Here is a 22,557-nt window from a genome sequence, read left to right on the forward strand (position 1 = left end):
CATTTCACATTCACTAGAATGGTAATAATTAAAAAGATAGACAATAACAAATGTTGACAAGGATGTGGATAAATGGGAACACATACATTGTTGACAGGATGTTGATGGGTATGTAAAACGGCATAGCCACTTTGGACAAGAGTTTGGCAGTATCTTTTCTTTTCTTTCTGTAAATGTACAGTTGGATATAATTAAAACAATCATAATGTTGTGAAACCATCACCACTATTCATCTCCCTAACTCTTTTTATCTTGTAAAACTGAAACTCTGTGCCCATTTAACAATAACTCCTCATTTCCTCTTCCCTCTCTTCCCTCAGGCCCTGTTAACCACCATTCTACTTTCTGACTCTATGATTTTGACTACTCTAAGTATCTCATATATTTAGAATCAAACAGTATTTGTCTTTTTGTGACTGGCTTGTTTCACTTAGCATAATGTTCTCAAGATTCCACCATGTTGTAGCATGTGACAGGATTTCCTTTTTTAAGGCTAATATTCTATTATATCATGCCTGTAATCTCAGCCACTTGGGAGGCTGAGGTGAGAGGATCGCTTGAGACCAGGAGTTTGAGACTAGCCTGAGCAAGATAGCAAGATCCCACCTCAAAAAAACAAACAAACAAACAAAAAAAAAAAACCAAAAATATTATTTTGTACATAACACATGTTGCTTATCCACTCATCTGTCGATGGACACTTGGGTTGCTTCCACCTTTTGGCTACTGTGAATAATGCTACGAGCATGGGCATACGAATATCTCCTCCAGACCCTGCTTTCCACTCTTTTGGGTATACACCCAGAAGTGGAATTGCTGGGTCCTATGGTAATTTTTTTTAAAATTTTTTGAGGAACTTCCACACTGTTTTCCATAGTGGCTATACCATTTTAAATTCCCACCAACAGGTGCACAAAGCTTCCAATTTTTCCACATCCTCACAGACATTTATTATTTTCTATTTTTTTGATAGTAGCCATCCTAATGGATATGAATAGTAGCTCCCATTTGTAGTTTTGATTTGCGTTTCCCTAATCATCAGAGATGTCGAACATCTTTTCATGGGCTTATTGTCCATTTGCATATCATCTTAGCTGAAATGTCTATTCAGATATTTTGCCCACTTTTTAATTGCGTTATTTGATTTTTAATGTTGAACATTAACAGTTCTCTACCTATTCTGGATATTAATCCCTTATAAGATACATGATTTGCAAACATTTTCATCTATTCTGTGAGTCGCCTTTATATTCTGTTGATATTGTCTTTTGATGTTCAAAATTTTTAAATTTTCAGGAAGTCCAATTTGTCTATTTTTTCTTTTGTTGTATGTGGCTTTGGTGTGATATCCAAGAAATTATCTCCTCGGCAGTTTCTTAAAAATTTAAACACAAATACAACATATGACCCAGCAATCCCACTCCTAGGTATATACCCAGAAGAAATGAAAATTTATGTCTATACAAAGACTTTCATGCAAGTGTTCACAGCAATATTATTTATAATAGCCCCAAAGTAGAAACAATCAAAATGCCTATTAACTGATAAATGGGCAAAAAAAATGGTATATTCATACAATGGACTACTATTAAACGATAAAAATGAATGAAATGCTGATATAAGCTACCACATGGACAAACCTCAAAAGCATTTTGCTAAGTGAAAGAATCCAACACAAAAGACCGCATATTGTATGATTCCACTTACGTGAAATGTCCAGAAAAGGCAAATATACAGATACAGAAAGTAGATTACTGGTTGCTTGAGGCTGGGACTGGGAATGAGGATTAGCTGTACAAGAACACGGGGAATCTTACTGAGATGAGGAAAATGTTTGTATTGTGATGGTTGCACAATTCAGCTGATTTACTAAAAATCACTGACTTGCACAATTAAAATTGGTGAATATTATAGTATGTTAATTACACCTCAGTAAAGTTGTTAAAAAGTTGCAACTTTTCTGAAATCTAAAATTATACATTTATCTGCTTATTAGTGCAAAATAAATATAGAAAGGTAAAACCAGAAACTACAGAGATTGGTGACCCACAGGGCACGGGGAAAGGGTGGAAAGAATGAATACAATTAATTGTATACATACAATTAATACATGTTTAAGGAATAAGGGAAATGCATGGAAGGAGGGGATGGAAGTGAATAAAAGTGGAATACGAAAAGAAACAAATGAACCTAATGTATTATAAACTAATAGTATAACCATACTGAAGAGGATGGGGAAGGAAAATATTGACCTAAATAACACTATGAAAAACAACACCTTGCTTGGATGCTTTAAGGCTAAAAACAAAATAGCTGTATGCTATACTCTAGTAAATATTGTACTTTAGTTAGTAAATCTGCTTTACTCACAGGGTTATGGACTTATAATTCTGTAAATATCTCTCCCGTGTATTAGGACTGAACAAAGAGGTAAACACATTACAGATAATGAGCGCCAGATTTCTCACTGTTGGAGAAAGTTACGAATAAGCAAAGAGAGAATAGAATGAATTTTTTTTTTTTTTTTTGAGATGGAGTCTCACTCTGTCACCCAGGCTGGAGTGCAGTGGCACGATCTTGGCTCACTGCAACCTCCGCCCCCCAGGTTCAAGCGATTCTCCTGCCTCAGCCTCCCGAGTAGCTGGGATTACAGGCGTGCTGTAATTTTTGTACTTTTAGTAGAGACGGGGTTTCACTATCTTGGCCAGGCTGGTCTTGAACTCCTGACCTTGTGACCCACCCGCCTCGGCCTCCCAAAGTGCTGGGATTACAGACGTGAGCCACTGCATCCGGCCTAGAATGAATCTTGTGGTAATGGTTTGGAATCCAAAGTATCAGTGTTAACTAATTGTTTTTAATATATATACAGATGAATAAATAAAAGGAATAAATATAGATACGTGTGCATGCGTGGATGAGTATGCGTACATGTATTTCCCAGGTAGGAATGATGACACCCTAGTAGCAATGACAACACCAAACATCCAGATCTTGGTTTCTATAGACCACTTCCATTAAAAGGAATCAGAGCTCCTTGGAGAAGCAGTTCATTCCAGGCCTAGGGAGGAGAAGCTATAAGATGATTCTAGAGCATGTTGTGGTACCAGAAAGTTAGGAAGTCCTCAAAAATGTGACGTCAAAATGACACAGGAGACAATGTGTGGGGAGCTTCCAATGGCTAAAGCAAACAATTTGAGCCAAAAATAAATATAGATGTAATAAAGTAAATATGCATCAGTACATAGTGGTATAAATTAATAAATAAGTGGGGACGAGGGAGAGATCTTCCTTACAGAAGAATTTCAATTAACACATGTTTAAGGAATTAAAGAAATGCAAAATTACCAGGAGACACACATCACAGTAATAACTATTGCAGGCAAGATCCACAGTTGGATGCTAACATCAGTGGATGAAGATTTGAGGAGAAACAGGATATTGGCCTCAAAGTATCTCCCCTAAGAAATGTATCTATTGCAAAGGGGAAAAAAAAATATATAGTAATTTTGTAGCAGAGAAAACCCAGTAAACCCCATCTTGCTCAGGCAATCAAGGTTAACATCATCAAGAATGGGACATGTTAACATCATGTGCCCATGATGTGCTACACTGAAAAGGATACAACAGCACCTCTGTAGCAGCCTGGCCAAAAACTCATAACCTCAATTTTATCATGAAAAAAACAAAGACATTCTCTTATATCAATTATTGTTTTTTGAGACAGCGTCTCATTTTGTCACCCAGGCTGGAGTGCAGTGGTGCCATCATAGCTCACTGCAAACTCCTGGGCTCAAGTGATCCTCCTGCCTCAGCCTCCTGAGTAGCAGGGACTACAGGCACACATCACCACACCAGCAATTTTTTGTTTTGTTTTGTTTTGTTTTAGAGACAGGCATCTCACTATGTTGCCCAGGCTTATCTCACACTCCTGGCCTCATGTAAGCCTCCCTCCTTGGCATCTCAAAGTGTTAGGATTACAAGCATGAGCCACTGCACCTGGCCTCATATCAATTCTTATAATGACATTAAGACAAATGAAGTGAGCAGTACTCATCAAAAGTGTCAATGTCAGGAAAGACTGAGGAACTGTCACAGACTGGAGGAGACAAGAGACACAACTGCTAAATCTAATGTGGGACTTTACTTGGATTCTGGAACAAAAAAAGAATGGTAGGGAAAAATGGTGAAATTTGAATAAAGTTTGTAGTTTACTTAATAGCATTGTGCCAGTGTTGATTTCCTGGTTTTGATAATTGTACTATAGTTATGTAAGTTGTTAACATTAGGGTAAAATGAATGAAGGGCATATATATACACAGATGAACTCTGCACTATTTTTGCAACTTTTCTGAAATTTAAAATTATGTCCAAATAAAAAGTTTTTTAAAAAGAAAAATATAGGCTGGGTGCGGTGGCTCATGCATGTAATCCCAGCACTTTGGGAGGCCAAGGCAGGCGGATCATGAGGTCAGGAGATAGAGACCATCCTGGCTAACACGGTGAAACCCCGTCTTTGCTAAAAATACAAAAAATTAGCCAGGCGTGGTGGTGGGCGCCTGTAGTCCCAGCTACTGGGGAGGCTGAGGAAGGAGAATAACTTGAACCTGGGAGGCGGAGGTTGCAATAAGCCAACATCACGCCACTGCACTCCAGCCTGGGTGACAAAGCGAGACTGTGTCTCAAAAATAAAAAAATTAAAAAAGAAAAGAAAAGAAAAATATAGCATCTTGTACAAAGGCCAACTTTAGATTCATCCCTGTTAAACTTTATTCAATCTCTTTAGTTTTTTTTTTTTTTTTTTTTTAAGACAGAGTGTCTTGCTCTGTTGCCCAGGCTGGAGTGCAGTGGCGCAATCACAGCTCACTGCAACCTCCACCTCCTGGGCTCAAGTGATCCTCCCACCTCAGCCTCTGGAGTAGCTAGTACTATAGGCACGCACCACTACACCCAGCTAATTATTTTGACCTTTAGTAGAGAGAAGGTCTCACTATGTTGCCCAGGCTGGTCTCAAACCCTTGAGCTCAAGGTATCCTCCTGCCTCAGCCGCCCAAAGTGCTAGGATTACAGGCGTGAGCCAATTCAATTCCTCAAACTGAGAAGTAAGAACCATACAATAAATAAGCAAATAAGCAAAGATCATTTAGAATAAAAGATTACCTAAAGCAACGTCTGAATCACATTATTTTTAAACCCACTTATTCAGGGCTCACACATTTCTCCAACATTTTGGCAGAAGAAAACTTTATGGAAGATAAAATTCTAGTTACTCTGAGTAAACCTGATCCTCATCCCTGAACTTAAATATGAGTAGTGAAGCTGGCAATAATCACAACCCAAATGATACCATAGGTTGGTCCCAAGAGGCTCAAAAATTAATAGGCCAAGAAATGGATAAAGGAGTTACATCTTTGTATATCTACATCTTTGAATCCTTGCAATCCTCATTTCCTCTCCTTTTCCTTCTTGGGAGAAAATTTCCATTTCTGTACTCCTATACCAAGAAATCCAAACTAAGAGGGACATCCTGGCCGGGCGCAGTGGCTCACGCCTATAATCCCAGCACTTTGGGAGGCCAAGGTGGGTGGATCATCTGAGGTCAGGAGTTCGAGACCAGCCTGGCCAACATGGTGAAACCCCATCTCTACTAAAAATACAAAAATTAGCCGGGTGTGGTGGTGCACGCCTGTAATTCCAGCTACTAGGGAGGTTGAAGCAGGAGAATTGCTTGAACCTGGGAGGCGGAGGTTGCAGTGAGCCAAGACTGCACCACTGCATTCCAGCCTGGGTGACAGAGCAAGACTCTATCTCAAAAAAAAAAAAAAAAAAAAAGAGGGACATCCTTACTTACTAGTATTGTAAATACTACAAATATTCAAAAGATCAAATTCTTCTAGGGTTTGAGTTCCAAACGACAGTACAAAGGATGTATGCTCACTGTTAACCATGACTATCTGTGGATAAATGGATGGGAGGCTCTTTAATTTTTTATTTTACACATTTTGTATTATTTGACTTTTTATAACAATCACATATCATTTTAAAATAAATTTATATATATATATGGCACAATGCCAGTCAATCATTAGTTATTTTAAACTAAATAATAGACTTTTAACAATTCAACTATAAACTGTTAGCAATTCAATTTCATTTGAAATATATCAAACTCAAAAGCCAAGAGTAAGGAAACTCTTGCCAATTGTCATTTAACATCATTTACTAAAAGTGTACTTTATCTAAATAAAGTCAGTGGAATGGTTTTGTGCCACCAGAGAGCACACAGCAACTGGAGGACGTGAGTTATCCACATAGTAAAGAAGTGAACATTTGTTTCCAAAGCAGGGTACCAACATGTGTGAATTCCAGTACAGCAAATAGAATATTTAATACCGAAAGTGTGTGGTATGGAGGAATCAGCAGATAAATGTTCTGGGGAGAGATAGCCTTTTGGCCTCCCATGACATGGCAGGGGGAGGGGGGAAGAGAGAGAGAAAGAGAGAGAGAGCGTGAGCTACTTCATGGATGGATCACCAACCCCACTTGCTATGCACCTGACCAGGACCACACCTTCTCCAATGGGAGCGGTGGGAGCCTCACTCCTCATGCACAAAGGGGAGCTCCCTGAATGATATCCCAAGGGGTGTCACCAGATCCAAACTTGCCCGTCATAATCCCATCTGTTATTCATATTTGCTGTCTATATTTTCTTTTGGTCTTCCCTTCCTTTGTAACAAAGTTCATTGTAAAGATCCCATTTCTTGTCTCAGCTATGCTAAGACAAGGAGATGGGTGGATAGGGAGGATCAGGTCATTGCTACAACACTGCAAAAGCATCTGACAGTCACTTACCTACTTGGTCATCTGTATATTCTGTATCTAGATATTTCATTTGTGGGTTTGTCTGTTTGTTGGAAAAGACTTTGTGTCAAGGTGCTAGTAGACTGAGCCCATCTTACACAATCACTTATTCAAAAATAAGGATGTCTATTCAGTGTCTACCATGTACCAGGCACTGCTGAGCATTATATACTGTTCCAATATTTAGAATCTTTATTACTCAGAGGCCACAGTATGAAACAGATTGGTTTGAAACATCAGGGTCTGGACACTAGGCCATTAAATGGCACCAGAATAGACACTCATTAAAAGTTTTCCTCCTCTGGGTGGGCATAGTGGCTCATGCCTGTAATCCCAACACTTCGGGAGGCCGAGGCCAGTGGATCACCTGAGGTCAGGAGTTTGAGACCAGCCTGGCCAACATGGTGAAACCCCGTCTGTCCTAAAAATACAAAAATTAGCTGGACATGGTGGCAGGCGCCTGTAATCCCAGCTACTTGGGAGGCTGAGGCAGGAGAATTGCTTGGTCTCACACTCCTGGCCGGGGATGAGGAGGCTTCAGTGAGCTGAGATCGCGCCATTGCACTCCAGCCTGGGTAACAAGAGCAAAGCTCTGTCTCAAAAAAGTTTTCCTCCTCATCTAAAGAAGTTAATATGTTTTTCGAAGTGGAAAGAGACTTGGAAGGACTTTCTTACTCATTGTGTAGCTTTAGATCCTGCAAGTATTCAGAAGATCAATTCCCATGGGAGTTAAGCCCAAGTTCTAAAGAGTTTAAAACCTCTCGAAGAGGAAGGGGCCACCAACATACTTGTCAAGGTTGGGTCCAGGAGCAAGGAGGGATACTCAGAGATGAGTTCAGTGCTCCTCATCTAATTTCTTCCTGCAAGGGATGACTATAGACAGTGGGATTTCTCACTCATCCAAAGAAGGACAGCAGCAGGCTGAGTAAATATGAGAAACGTGGGGTTGGGGACAGAGCTAGGGGTGGAGACCTGACTTTCTTTCACTTGCAGGCAACTTGTGTGATCATGGCCACAACTCCTCTGGCCCTCAGTGTCCCCATCTGTGAAATGAGTAATAGCATTGGCCCAGAGCTACCTGAATAGCCCAGTCAGCTCCAATGTGTCATGATTTCCATCTCCAGGAACAGCCTCGAGTGTCCAGTCTCTGGCCAGCTATGAACTTCACAGTTCATGACTCTAGTCCAGATTATAAAATGGCAGAGTCCAAACCACAGGTTCTCAGACCTGCAGCTCTATGGGCTAAAATGCCCCTCTGCACACATCTCTCCAGAGTGAACCTGTAACTCCAAACGAGGAAGGTCCTTGGTGTACTCTGAAGCTTGGCACGTCACAATGCCAAACATTGTGGCCAAAGCCATAAACAGGATGGAGCCTCCTGAGCTGGTAGGGGAGGGCAGGACTCTCTAGCACTCAGACTTCAGGGCAAAGGTACAAACCGCCCCAGGGAGGTGCAGGATCAGCCCTGCTCTGGCAGGCATGGCTCTCCTGATCAGCATGGATGTTTACTTTCTGCCCCAAAACTGAGTGGGACCCAAAGATACTAACACATCTCTTTTCTTTTCCAGAAGCTAGACAAAAGGACATTTCAGAGCCAGATAAAACTGTGTGAGCAGCTCTGGGGAAGACCTAATGTTTCCAGTCCAAGATCTGAAATATATTTCAGAGAGCAGGTGATGTGATTCAGGGGCTGGGGGAAAGGGAGAGGAGGGGCAGTACTTTTACCAACATAAGTGGCCACTGCAAGAGCTAAGGAGGTAGGAGCTTCCCTACAGTCCCCCCACATGGTCCCCAAGGCACTTACCCTCACACTGCCTGCCTTCCCCTTGGTAGCCAGGCTTGCAGGAGCACTTGTAGGAGGTGGGTGTGTTCTGACACAGGGCGTCGGCATGGCAGTCATCTAGCCCTTGGGCACACTCATCTACATCTGCAAAAGAGCACAGCTGACACCTGGTACAGGCTCCCAGGCCATGTGTGATCTGGCCTCGGCCCTGTCTGGCATCATCCTCACCAGCCCACCCCGCTTCACTCCTCACAAGCTACAGCTGCTTGGGATCCCTGGGATAAACCAAACTGTTTCTGGGTCCCTGTTTCCAGGAACAGCCCGGACACTCTACGTGAAATTACCCCCACCATCACCTACTGGCCTTCAGGACTTAGCTCAAATCCACCTCCTCCAGGAAGCCTGCCATGACCCCCATTGTAGCTGCCCTCACCAAGTGCTCGCATATGTATGGCTTTGCATGCACACATCAGGCAGGGTTGTCACTGTTTTCCTTCCTCTCTCTCCACTAGACAATGTCTTGACAACAGACTGCGTCTGTGTCCCTTATGCCAAGCCAGCGCAGTACCTGGCATGTGAGTAGGCAATAGTACCTACATGCCCGCTAAAGGAGGAAAGGACCAAACGGACAGACAAGCTCTGAACACCAAGCAGCTGTCTGTCAGCTTTCTCGGAGCTCAGAGCAAGCTTGTCCAACACAGCCCGTGGGCTACGTGCAGCCCAGGACAGTTTTGAATGCGGCCCAATGCAAATTCATAAACTTTCTTAAAACATTATGAGATTTTTTTTTTATTTATTTATTTATTTTTTTTTTTTGCTCATCAGCTGTCGTTTGTGTTGGTATATTTTATGTGTGGCCCAATTCTTCTTCTTCCACTGTGGCCCAGGTAAGCCAAAAGATTGCACCCCGCTGGTTTAGAGTATTTATGGGAAGTCTGCCCCGGGATCGGAGCAGATGTCATCCAGGGCTCTCAGATGCTGCGAAGCGGGGATGGTGTCCCCATGGCCGGCCCCCTGCACTCCCACCCCTGCCCATCCTCTCAACCTGGAAACCCGCCTTGGCAGAAGTATTTCCTGGGTTGACACTACTCCAGGATATTAATTAAAAACAAAAGCATTTTGAAAGTATTGCAAGTCCAGTAAGCACAGCACGTCCAGAGTCCTCTCTGGAAACCAAAGTTCTCTGCTGAAAACCTAGGCTTGTTGCTGCTTCAGGGTAATTCCCAGATCGGAACAGGCGCTGTTCCGCTGACAGAAAAGTCTCTGGAGCCCACCCCGAAGCCATCAGCAGAACTTGCCGGCCCCCAAAGAAAGAAACGGCAAAGCTGCCACCGCCTCGCGGATGTGCCCGGCCCGGCCCTCAGTTTCCCCGCCTACGCTGAGGCGCGGGACCCCAAGGCCAGGGTCCGCACCCTCCTGCCTGCTCGCCGGCGACGGTCTGACTAGCAGGCGCTCTGGAGGCATCCGGACCGGGGCGGGAACCGTCAGCAGCTCCGGGTCCGAGGCCGGGCCGAAGGACTCAGGGCCCCAGCGGTCGTGGCGCCTTGGCCCGGCCGGCGGGTGAGGTCCCGGGGGGAGCAGAGGCCCCCGCGGAGCTGCAGCCGCCAGCCCCGAGCCCCGCGCGCCCGGCTCTGGACTCCGCCGGGGACCTAAACACTCTTCCTGGCCCTGCCTGCTGTGCCAGGTGCGCCCCCGCGGCCGGACACTCACCCTCCTGCGGCCCCGCGGCACGGCCCCGACCCGGCGGGACGGCCCCCGCCAGCAGCAGCAGTGGCGGCAGCAGCAGCAGCAGCAGCAGCACCGCCCAGGCCGCCCCGGGACGGTTGCGGCCCGCGACCCCCATGGATGGCTCAGCGGTTGCGGGCAGAGGCGGCGGAGTGCGGGCGGTGGCGGCGGCGGCGCGGGGAGGTGTGCGCGGACGCCCTGCCCGCTGCCGCTGCCACCCCCGGCCCGGCCCCGCCCGCCCCCCGAGCCCCGGCCTCATTTTCACACGGTCCCTCCCGGGCCGGGGCGGGAAGCGCAGGCGGGAGCAGTGCCGCCCCGCCCGGCCTCCTCCCGTCCCCTCCCCGGCCTCGGGTGGAGGGGGCGCGGCCGCGGTGGCCCGAGCGCGGCTGTCAGCCTGGCGGGGCGGCAGCACCGTGCCTCGCGCCCCGCGCAGCCCTGGCACCCAGCCCGCTGCCCCCCGCATCCCCGCTCCGCTCCAACGCTCGGAGCCCTCGGTGCCGCGCCTGTTCCAGTGTGTTACAACTCGACCCAGGCCCTCATGTGAGGACAAACAGCCCTTCTAGATTGAAATATTCGGGGTCAGGGCGCCCAGAAAGTGTTCCGTATAGTCCCCAAACCCCAAAGCCATCTTGGGGCTTTCCACGTGGGAGGTGGGAGGTGGGAGTGGAAGGAATTGGGGGTGACTTCCAATTCGGGAAAACAGCTGTTTGAATGGAGAAGGTGACCCTGGCTTCTCTGCCCACCCCAGCACACCCTCTGCACCCTTCTCCACACTGCCCACCCCAGGCCCTCTGGGATCCTCCATCCCACAGCCCTGAGGGCACTGGTCCACTTGTCCCACTGTGGGGCACACTGGGCCTAGAATCCCTGCAAGCTACTTATGTATATCTCAGGGCAGCCTAAGGGGAAGGGGGCTAGAGGTCAAAGGTGAGCCACCAGAGACAACAGACAGCAGCCCCGACTTTGCCGGAGTACAGGTGGCATTTACGATCACCTGAACTCATAAACATCAGGTCTGGCTAGCTTCAAACACAGGCAGGGCCTAGCACCTAGCCTTCCATGAAAGACAGTCCTTGCAAGGGAACAGGTACACAGGGTCTTCCCATATCACACTTGACACGGATGGCTGGAGCCCAATACACCCACCATCACTCCAGGAACAAATATAGTAACAATTTCCGGACGCAACCAAACATCACACTTAGGGATAGTAATGTTCTTCACTGAGCTTCTCCGTATTTATTCAATTTTCTCCTGCGATTATATACATACACATATGTATATATGCAGGCACACGCACGCGCGCACACACACACACACCATTCCTTTGGAGATCAGAAAAAAAATAGATGTCACCAAAAAATCCCCACCTAGCTCATGCACAAAAACTCTTATGTCTTCTTGGGGCCTATCCACAGCCCAGAGCTCCCAGCCTCTGCACCCTCAGTACCCACTGTCTGCCACCCCAGCCCCCGAACATGCCCACGGGGGCCTGCCTCTTTGGGCTGTGGCTAGTGCAGCTGCTTGATGGAGCTATCTGAGAAAATAACTTTTCTGTAGTTGTTTTTCTTTTGACCCTTTCAGTGAAGGCAGGCAGGTTGCGTCCCTCTTTCTGTCTGCGCCTCCCTCCCACTCCCTTTTGTTTGGTGCTGAGAGAGACACTCAGCTATTTCTGGTCATAAGGGTGGTTTTTACACATTTGTAAATCTTCAGTTAGTGAAACGTTCTCTCCACCTTTGTCTTTGTGTCCTTAATGGTAGCCATAAATTACTGCCTTCTTTTCTCTCCACTGCATCAGGCTTCATTGCTTTTGAAATGATCAAAGTTATTTCTTTTAAAATCCAACTAGAAACTGCCCATTGTGTGGCACAGACCTCTTTAGCTCCAGTTAAAGCATATAAATACATAAAGCTGCCCATTAAACTCTAGGGGGAGCCTCCTGCAGCGCCCTTGTGCCTGGCAAAGAAATCACACATGTGCTATTCTTCCCCTTTACCTTTCCCTAACTTGATCTTTCAGTAAGGACATAAATTAATAATGACAAGAATCAGCGCCTTTTTGCCTAAGACTGTCAGCTTTTGTCATGTTTCCCAGAAAAGTCCACCACTGGCACAGATCTCAAAAAATGTTCTGTATCCTATTTTGTTTGCGCTGACATCCTTACAAACGTGCTTTCAGCTGTTGGCTCCCAGACTCCTGGGCAACCTTTTTGACACTTGAGATTAAAGTCAATATGGCTTACAACCGGGAATTTCCACAGGGGGAAGCTCCAGGGGAAAACTGTGTCCAAATGTCAGTGTTTTTGGTGTCAGGAGGAACTTGGTTGGCTCTACTCTGGCTGCAGGCTGCCCTCTATTCTGCAGCTGAGGTCCCCACAAACTTCTCAGAAAGGCCTCAGACACCGTCCCTGGACTGAGGCTAAAGCTCCCTCTTCCTCTCCCTGTCTCCTCTCCACAGGCTGAGAGGCCATGAACCAGGCCTCAGGGGTGCGAAGAGGCAGTCCAGCCAGCCCAGTCACACTGGTGTGGGCCTTTGAGGAGGCTGAAGAAAGCCTGGTAGTGGCCGGCCATGCGTGCCCCTGAACTACACATAAGCAGGTGCCACTCTGCACTCATGGGACACCATTCAGTGCCCACCTTTCTTGACTCCCCCCCCGCCCCCAGCAGCCTCTGACATGTGGACTACTTCTCCCTGGTGGAAACTCTCCTTACCCTTGGTTGTCATCGTGGCAAACTCCTGGTTTTCCTCCTACCTCTCAGGAAATGCCTTCTCCACCATCTTCTAGGAGTCCTCTTTCTATACCCTCTCTCTGGATGGTTCACTCATTCCCTTGATTCCATAATGTCAATCTCCAGCCTGGATTCATCCCCTTGGTTCAATCCCATGTATCCAGTTGCCTACTAGATACCACCTTGATCTTCCCTAGATCCCACCTTGATCTTCCCTAGATCCCTCTGATTGAACATGTTCAAAACGAAGCTCATGACCTAGAAGAAGCTTCTCTGCTTTCTCGAATCTCTGCCTGGTTCAGCCCACCCACCCCTCCACTACTGCCTCCACCATGTCCATCAGGGTGACCCAGAAGTCCTACAGGGTGTCCACCTCTGGCCCCTAGGCCTTAAGCAGCCGCTCCTACACAAGCGGGCCTGGTGCCCATATCAGCTCCTGGAGCTTCTCTCAAGTGGGCGGCAGCAGCAGCTTCCGGGGTGGCCTGGGCACCCGCATGGCTCTGGGTGGAGGCTATGGTGGGGCCAGTGGTATGGGGGGCATCACAGCCATCATGGTCAGCCAGAACCTGCTGAGCCCCCTTAAGCTGGAGGTGAACCCCAACATCCAGGCTGTGTGCGCCCAGGAGAAGGAGCAGATCAAGACCCTCTACAACAAGTTTGCCTCCTTCATCGAGAAGGTGCGGTCCCTGGAGCAGCAGAACAAGATGCTGGAGACCAAGTGGAGCCTCCTGCAGCAGCAGAAGACAGCTCAGAGCGACATGGACAGCATATTCGAGAGCCACATCAACAAACTTCGGCGGTAGCTGGACACTCTGGGCCAGGAGAAGCTGAAGCTTGGCAACATGCAGAGGCTGGTGGAGGACTCCAAGAACAAGTATGAGGATGAGATCAATAAGCGTACAGAGATGGAGAATGAATTTGTCCTCATCAAGAAGGTAACGTGGCTGAAGCTAACATGAACAAGGTAGAGCTGGAGTCTCTTCTGGAAGGGCTGACTGACGAGATCAACTTCCTCAGGCAGCTATATGAAGAGGAAATCTGGGAGCTGCAGTCCCAGATCTCGGACACATCTGTGGTGCTGTCCATGGACAGCAGCCGCTCCCTGGACATGGACAGCATCATCCCTGAGGTCAAGGCGCAGTACAAGGAGATCGCCAATGGCAGCTGGGCTGAGGCTGAGGGCATGCATCAGATCAAGTATGAGGAGCTGCAGACACTGCCTGGGAAGCATAGGAATGACCTGCGTTATGCAAAGATGGAGATCTCTGAGATTAATAGGAACATCAGCCGGCTCCAGGCTCAGACTGAGGGCCTCAAAGGCCAGAGGGTTTCCCTGGAGGCTGCCATCGCAGATGCTGAGCAGTATGGGGAGCTGGCTGTTAAGGATGCCAACACGAAGCTGTCGAGCTGGAGGCCGCCCTGCAGCGGGCCGAGCAAGACATGGTGCAGCAGCTGTGCCATGGAGCACCAGGAGCTGATGAACGTCAAGCTGGCCCTGGACATCAAGATCGCCACCTACAGGAAGCTGCTGGAGGGCGAGGAGAGCTAGCTGGGGTCTGGGATACAGAACATGAGTGTCCATCTGAAGACCACCAGTGGCTACTCAGGTGGGCTGAGCTCGACCCACGGGCACCTCACAAGCCCTCTACAACAGGCCTTAGCTACAGCCTGGGCTCCAGCTTTGGCACTGGTGGAGGCTCCAGCTCCTTCAGCCGCGCCAGCTTCTCCAGGTCCATGGTTGTGAAGAAGGTGGAAACGCGAGATGGCAAGCTAGTGTCCAAGTCCTCTGATGTCCTGCCCAAGTGAATGGCCATGGCAGCCCCTACCAGCCTGCCCCTCCTGCGGCTGCCCCAGGGCCCGTGGAGGAAGCCGCTGTGCAGTGGAGCACAGGAACAGGAGACTCACCTGAGGCTCAGCCCTAGCCCTCAGCCCACCTGCTGGGGGAGTTTACTGCCTGGGGCACCCCCATTGGCCATGCTTCCAGCTACAAAACAATTCAATTGTTGCTTTTTTTTTTTTTTTTTTCAAAATAAAATCTCAGCTAGCTCTGCCAACTGTCCAAAACAAACAAACAAATGGAGCTCATCTTCCTCAAACCTGCTCCTTCTCAAGTGCTCTCTCCTTTAGACAAGGGCACCACCATTCTGTTAACACCAAGTCAGAGGTTTGGCGGTCATCTGGGACTCCATTATCTCCCTCCCCACCACATCCGAACAATCAAGAAAATTCTACCTTCTTATTGTCTCTTAAAACCATTCTCTTCCTCTGTGCCCATTGCCTGAGCTCAGGGGTTCGCCATCCCTCATCACCCCTGGGGGCTGTGTATCTATCCCTTTCCTCCTTCCTAACAGATACTCACTCCTCCTGCAGACAGCCCGTGTCCCTAGGAAGGAAGCTGCCCCATCTCTAACTTCAGGCTCTGGAGTTGACTTAAGACAATTGATATCATTCATTCCATTCCCCCTGCAACAGTCATTGGTTCAGGGATGAGCACGTGACGGATTTCCAATCGGAGCAAATCTCAGGCCCTTTGCTTGAAAGGCTGGAATGGAAAGGCTCTCTTTTTCTCTTTGGGATGTGGCTGTGGTAAATGAGAAACTGTGGCAGCCATCTTAATACCTCCTTCCCTTGCCCAAAAGAGGGTAAGTCCAGAGAAACCCTGAGAAGCCAACCAGGAGACACTCTGGTTGCACCTAGTCTGCGATTTCTTACAGGTCTCTCTGTCTAGAATCTCATCCCAATTCAGTACATTCAACACAGTGGCTGCCAGAGTTAAAAGTAAGTTTCATCATATCACTCCCAGTCTTCCTCAGGCTAACATCCAAGCTCCCTTGGTACAATCACTCTGGAGAACTGCCGGGCAGTATACACTAATATGGATCATGCATGCCCACTTCTCAGAATATACCCAAGAGAAATGAGTGTACATGTTCACCAAATTCATATACGAGAACATTCATAACGGCTGTATTTACACTAGCCCCAAACTGGAAATCACCCACATGTCCATCAACTAGATAATGAACATATTGTGGGATATTTGTTCAATGGAATACTACACCAAGCAACAAAACGAACAAACTCTGATACAGGCAGCCACACAGAGGCACCTTATGAACATTAGGCCTAGTTAAAGAAGCCAGGTTAAAAAGGGTGCAAGTAGTATCATTCTGAGAGACAGGACTAGCTGGATTTCCTAGGCCGACTAAGAATTCCTAAGCCTACCTGGGGAAGGTGACCACACCCACGTTTAAACACAGGGCTGGTAACTCAGCTCGCACCCAACCAATCAGGAAGTAAAGAGTGCTCACTAAAATACAAATTAGGCCAAAAGCAGGAGGTAAATAAATAGTCAAATCATATATCGCCTGAGAGCACAGGGGGAGGGACAATGATCGGGATATAAACCCAGGCATCCCGGCAGGGAGCGGCAACCCCCTTTGGGTCCCTTCCCATTATATGGGAGCTCTGTTTTCACTCCATTAAATCTTGCAACTGCACACTCTTCTGGTCCGTGTTTGTTATGGCTCGAGCTGAGCTTTCGCTCGCAGTCCACCACTGCTGTTTGCCACCGTCGCAGACCCGCCGCTGACTTCCACCCCTCCAGATCCGGCAGGGTGTTCACTGCACTCCTGATCCAGCGAGGCGCCCACTGCCACTCCCTATCAGGCTAAAGGCACGCCATTGTTCCTGCATGACTAAGGGCCCAGGATTTGTCCTAATCGAGCTGAACACTAGTTGCTGGTTCCACGGTTCTCTTCCATGACCCACGGCTTCTAACAGAGCTATAACACTCACCTCATGGCCCAAGGTTCCATTCCTTGGAATCCGTGAGGCCAAGAACCCCAGGTCAGAGAACAAAAGGCTTGCTACCATTTTGGGAGCGGCCCGCCCCATCTTGGGAGCTCTAAGAACAAAGACCCGCCCGTAACAATTCTATTCACTTCTATGATGTTCTGCTGGGTGTGGTGGCTCACACCTGTAATCCCAGTACTTTGGGAGGCCAGGGTGGGTGGATCACTTGAGCTCAGGAATTCAAGACAAGCCTGAGCAACACAGCGAGACCTCATCTCTACCAAAAAGTTTTTAAAAATCAGCCAGGGGCCGGGCAGTGTGGCTCAAACCTGTAATCCCAGCACTTTGGGAGACTGAGGTGGGCTGATCACCTGAGGTAAGGAGTTCGAGACCAGTCTGGTCTACATGGTGAAACCCCGTCTCTACTAAAAATACACAAAAAATTAGCCAGGCATGGTGGCATGAGCATGTAGTCCCAGCTACTTGGGAGGCTGAGGCAGAAGGATAGCTTGAACCCAGGAAGCAGAGGTTGCAGTAGGCTGAGATTGCACCACTGCACTCCTGTCATGGCAACAGAACGAGACCTCGTCTCCAAAAATAAAAAATAAAAAATCAGCCAGGTTTGCTGATGCATGCCTGTAATCTTAGCTACTCCAGAGGCTGAGGTGGGAGGATCACTTGAGCCCAGGAGGCAGAGGTTGCAGTGAGCTGAGATTGCATCACTGCACTCCAGCCTGGACAACAGAGCAAGACCCTGTCTCAAAGAAAGAAAAAAAACCAGAACAGGCAGAACTAATTAATAGTGACAGAAGCCAGAATTACTACTACTGTTCCCTCCAGGGATGTATATTGACATTTTGTTTATCTGGGAAGGAATGTGAAGGAACATTCTGGAGTGCTGGAAATGTTCTAGATCTTGATCTGCATGGTGATTTTATGGGTTTATACATATGTACAAATCTGCGGGAATGTTGGCTTAAGCTTAATGCACTTCATGCTCTTGACTGTATGTATGTTTTACATCAGTAAGTTGAAGCAAGTACTGCCTAGCTCAAGACCTTTATGATCTGATCCCATTCTATCTTTCCAGCCTTCTCTCCTACCACTCCTTTACCCGCAGACTACGCTCCACTGACATCAAACTTCACATACTAGTAGTTTGTCATTTTTCTCCTTATACATATCTTCTTTTGCTGACACTGTTCCCTCTGCCTGAAAGACATGAGGAAGTGGGTCTCAACAAATATTTGAAAAAACAAAATGCAACAACATCTAGATTAATAAATATCACTATACTCCAAGGAAAAACACATTTGCTGAGATGTTCTCCCAAAAAGCAATGAGGCATGCATGAAAAAATTTGAGTTGGCTGGGCACAATGGCTCACGCCTGTAATCCCGGCACTTTGGGAGGCCGAGGCAGGTGAATCACAATGTCAGGAGTTCAAGACCAGCCTGGCCAACATGGTGAAACCCTGTCTCTACTAAAAATACAAAAAAATAATAATAATAATAATAATAATTAGCGGGCTAAGTGGCGGGTGCTTGTAGTCCCAGCTACTTGGGAGGCTGGGGCAGGAGAATTGCTTGAACTCGGGAGGCGGAGGTTGCAGTGAGCCAAGATCGCTCCACTGCACTCCAGCCCAGGCAACAGAGTGAGACTCCATCTCAAACAAACAAACAAAAAAACAAACAAACAAAAAAATTGAGTCTTCAGATTAGCAGGCACTGAGAACTAATAAATAAAGGAAAACTATCTGCTCTTGCACACACATTAATTTCTCCCCATGAATGGCTTCCTTATCTTCTGGAAAAACCTTTTCAATATGTCTGAGCTGGCTATGAGGTAGTAAATCTTTCTGGTTGCTTACCCGTCCCCATCTGTTCTTTCCCTCCTTCCTAACAGACACTCACCCCTCTCGCAGGCAGCCTGTGTCCCTAGGAGGGAAGCTGTCCCATCTCTAACTGCAGGCTCTGGAGTTGGCTTAAGACAATAATGCCTATTATTCCAACAGTCATTGGTTCAAGGATAAGTACGTGACGGCTTTCCAATCAGAGTGAATCTCAGGCCCTTTGCTTCAAAGGCTGGAATAGAGAGACTTTTCCTTTTTGGCATGTGGTTGTGGTGAATGAGAAACTGTGGCAGCCGTCTTGACACCTCCTTCCCCTCCCCAAAAGAGGTTAAGTCCAGAGAAACCCTGAGAAGCCAACCAGGAAACACTCCCTACCTCAGGACCTCCAGTTATATGTGCCAATACGCTTCCTTATTGTTTGTATTGGTGGGTTTATTTTGATTTTTAAAATTGTGGTAAAACATACATAAAATTTACTGTTTTAACCATTTTTAACTGCACAGCTTATTAGCATTAAATACATTCACATTGCTTTGTAACCATCACGGCCATCCATTTCCAGAACTTTTTTTTTTTTTTTTTTTTGAGACTGAGTCTCGCTCTGTCACCCAGGCTGGAGTGCAGTGGCGAGATCTCGGCTCACTGGAAGCTCCGCCTCCTAGGTTCAAGCCATGTTCCTACCTCAGCCTCCGAGTAGCTGGGATTACAGGCGCCTGCCACCATGCCCAGCTAATTTTTTTTTTTCTTTTTTTGGTATTTTCAGTAGAGACAGGGTTTTGCTATTTTGGCCAGGCTGGTTTCGAACTCAGATGATCCTCTCACCTTGGCCTCCCAAAGTGCTGGGATTACAGACGTGAGCCACCGCGCCCAGCCATCCCCAGAACTTCCTTCATCCTGCAAAACTGAATCTCTACCTATTAAACAATAACTCCCCATCCCACTCCACCTGACAACCACCATTCTACTTTCTGTTCCTATGAATTTGACTACTTTAAGTATTTCATATGAGTGGAATAACAAAGTATTCATGATTGGCTTACTTAACTTGGCATAATGGCTTCAAGGTTCTCCTGTGTTGAGCATGTGTCAGAATATCATTCCTTTCTAAGGCTAAATAAGATTTGATTGCATGTATGTATCACATTTTGTTCATCCATTCATCTGTCCACAGACACTTGGGTTGCTTCTCCCTTTGGGCTATTGTAAATAATGCTGCTATGAATATGGGTGTGCAAATATCTGTCCATGTCTCTGCTTTCAATTTTTTTTTCAGTATATACTGAATTGCTGGATCAGATGGTAATTCTTTTTAATTTTGGGGAGAACTACCATAACGTTTACCTTACCAACTACACCATTTCATATTCCCACCAGCAGGGCATAAGGATTCCAATTTCTCCGCATCCTTACCAACACTTGTAATTTCCCAATTTTCCAATAATAGCCATCCTAACAGACATGAAGTGGTATTTCATTGTGAGTTTTTTGAATTGAGTTTCCTATTGTTTTAGCCAAAAAAGTATTCCTATTTAGTTCTATATACGCCTCCATTAGGCAATCCTCTCCATAAGGTGGGAGAAAGGTAATTGTGTAGGGTTGAATCCTCTCAGGGGCTGAAATAATAAATTATTATTTTAGTCACAAAAGTTGATGCAATCTTGGCATGCATGCCAGGACCCTCTATTTCTTCAATGTTTCTAAAACTGCACCCACATTCTTTTTTGCTTACAGAAGTTTAAAAATCCTTCCAATAAATATTTACTTAAAATGATAATAGTTAACATTTGAATGAATACTAAATATCAGATACTATTCTAAATACTTCACATGTATTTATCTAGTCTTCCTAAAAACTCTGCGAAATAGAACCATCACACTCTGTATTTTACAGATATGGACAGTGAAGGGAAGAGAGGTTAGGTAATTTGTTAGTAAGTGGCAGACCAGGACTCAATGCCAAGAAGCCTGGCTTCTGATCCCCCTGCCTAACCAATGCGCTCTACAGCCCATCGTGTGCCAGGCATTGTGCTAAGCCCTATGGGAGACACAAAGATTAGAGGCAAACTCTGCCCTCTCAGAGCTTACAGTCCAGCAAAAAAGGTGAGACATAATGGGTGTTCATCTTCCACACCTCTTCCAAAATATGAATATGACAGTGTCGGTTTAAAACTCCTTAAAGCCCCTTCACCTACATTACCTGTACCGTAGACCAACCTAAGGGGCAGGAGCAGCTGCATAATTTGCAGGGCCCCGTGCAAAATTAAAATGCAAGGTGCCTTAACCAAAATGCAGGGGGAAGATGCTATTAAGAGCACTAAAAATAGTTTTTTCTTTTAAAAACATTACTTGTAAAACATAATAGGGGTAACACGAGTAAAAACATAAATTTACAAACTGCAAAAAGGTAGTATTTTGGTGTCATAATGTTATGCAATACAACAAATAAAAATGCTCCATTAGGCCAAGAGGAGTGGCACACACCTGTAATCCCAGCACTTTGGGAGGCCAAGGCAGGAGGATAGTTGAGCCCTGGAGTTTGAGACCAGCCTGGGCAATACAGTGAGACCTTGTCTCTCCAAAAGATAAAAAAATTAACTGGGTGTGGTGGTACCCACCTGTAGTCCTAGCTACTTGGAAGGCTGAGGCAGGAGGATCGCTTGAGCCAGGGAAATCGAGGTAACAGTGAGCTATGATTGCACCACTGCATTCCAGCCTGGGGGACAGAGCAAGAGCTTGTCTCGAAAAAAAAAATTGCTCCATTCATGTGGTATCTTGATTCATCATAAGATTTTTCTGGCTCATTTTTCCACAAAATCATTTCCACAAATCATTTTCTGCAAAAATCAAAGAGGTCGTCAAAATGTATACTTTTAGGATCTTCATTTTTAGTCAGTATAATTGAAGGTATATCAATTGTTCTTGGCAAATTAAAGGTGACAATTTTTTATAATTTTCAATTTTCAGAAGGATCTTGCTAGGGATGTAATTTCTAGTGGATCTCTTATTGGATCTACCTGTTACTGGATCTGTTTTAGTACATCTAGAACTGATAATTCTTGTGGAATTATTTTTCTAAAAAGATTTAACTTTTCATACAAGTCATTTTTGTGTAAATCTGAATTTAATTTTAATGTACACTTACACAATGTCATTTTAATGTTTTCTTTGACACTTCTTGTAACATGTGGAGGTTAAATAAGAAGCTGAAAGTGGTTTCATGATTTGTATGTAATTCAGAAGTCCTGTTTATGTATAATATTTCTGTATCTTCAATTACAAGGAAAAATTTATTTTAAAATTGTCTTCCTTGTTAATAATTGCTTAATCTGAAACTTCCTACGAAAATAGGGCTCTTTTCAATCTAATGCAATGATTTTTATATTCGGTTTCTGTCCCTAAGCCTGCAGATATTTGCTTTGTTATGTTGCAGCAGTTTTAAAAATCAGAGGCTGGGCATGGTAGCTCGCGCCTGTAATCCCAACACTTTGGGAAGCCAAGGCAAGAGAATCACTTGAGCCCAAGAGTTTGAGACTAACTTGGGTAACATAGCAAGACCTCTGTCTCTACAGAATAAAAACATTAGCTGGGTACGGTAGTGCATGCCTGCAGTCTCAGCTACTTGGGAGACCAAGGCGGGAGGATAGCTTGAGCCACTGCACTCCAGCCTTGGTGACAGAGGGAGACCTTGTCTCTAAAAAAAATAAAATAAATAAAAACCAGAGATTCTAAACTCTTCAAAAAATTCTGAAACATGCTGCTATGCTTTATTGCAATATCCTTGTGTTTGCTTTTATTTTGTAATAATTTACTGACTA

At 46.0% G+C, this 22,557-nt stretch overlaps 1 protein-coding gene, 1 non-coding gene and 1 pseudogene across 35 annotated transcripts in view, besides 3 other annotated features; 1 reads left to right on the forward strand and 2 right to left on the reverse strand.

Annotated features, from left to right (window-relative positions):
• Positions 1 to 10,555, reverse strand: part of SCUBE2 (signal peptide, CUB domain and EGF like domain containing 2) — a 72,124-nt gene extending 61,569 nt beyond the window's left edge. For all 33 annotated transcript variants that reach the window (XM_047427364.1, XM_047427365.1, XM_005253036.5 and 30 more), the window contains exons 1-2: positions 10,352 to 10,555; positions 8,663 to 8,785 (exon numbers count right to left, since the gene is read on the reverse strand). In XM_047427364.1, the coding sequence (XP_047283320.1) occupies positions 8,663 to 8,785; positions 10,352 to 10,484 (256 nt within the window). In that variant the 5' untranslated portion in view covers positions 10,485 to 10,555. The remainder of the gene's footprint in view (positions 1 to 8,662; positions 8,786 to 10,351) is intronic.
• Positions 9,268 to 9,335, reverse strand: MIR5691 (microRNA 5691). Its single transcript, NR_049874.1, has one exon. It is a non-coding gene; the product is annotated as a microRNA 5691 (primary transcript).
• Positions 10,556 to 13,318: 2,763 nt separating the features above from the next.
• Positions 13,319 to 15,146, forward strand: KRT8P41 (keratin 8 pseudogene 41; annotated as a pseudogene). Its single transcript, NR_027713.1, has one exon. The product of NR_027713.1 is annotated as a keratin 8 pseudogene 41 (transcript).
• Positions 14,270 to 14,771: an enhancer, noted in NCBI's record as "H3K4me1 hESC enhancer chr11:9116861-9117362 (GRCh37/hg19 assembly coordinates)". NCBI's record gives its function as "activates a minimal SCP1, AML or CMV promoter by ChIP-STARR-seq in naive H9 embryonic stem cells {active_cell/tissue: H9 hESC(naive)}" and the evidence as "EXISTENCE:reporter gene assay evidence [ECO:0000049][PMID:30033119]".
• Positions 14,363 to 14,568: a silencer, noted in NCBI's record as "fragment chr11:9116954-9117159 (GRCh37/hg19 assembly coordinates)". NCBI's record gives its function as "represses an EF-1alpha promoter that drives an FKBP-Casp9 reporter gene in an ReSE screen in phorbol 12-myristate 13-acetate-treated (for megakaryocytic differentiation) K562 erythroleukemia cells {active_cell/tissue: K562(+PMA)}" and the evidence as "EXISTENCE:reporter gene assay evidence [ECO:0000049][PMID:32094911]".
• Positions 14,772 to 15,271: an enhancer, noted in NCBI's record as "H3K4me1 hESC enhancer chr11:9117363-9117862 (GRCh37/hg19 assembly coordinates)". NCBI's record gives its function as "activates a minimal SCP1, AML or CMV promoter by ChIP-STARR-seq in primed H9 embryonic stem cells {active_cell/tissue: H9 hESC(primed)}" and the evidence as "EXISTENCE:reporter gene assay evidence [ECO:0000049][PMID:30033119]".

This window comes from Homo sapiens, chromosome 11 (genome assembly GCF_000001405.40).
Source record: "Homo sapiens chromosome 11, GRCh38.p14 Primary Assembly".
Lineage (NCBI taxonomy): Eukaryota > Metazoa > Chordata > Mammalia > Primates > Hominidae > Homo > Homo sapiens.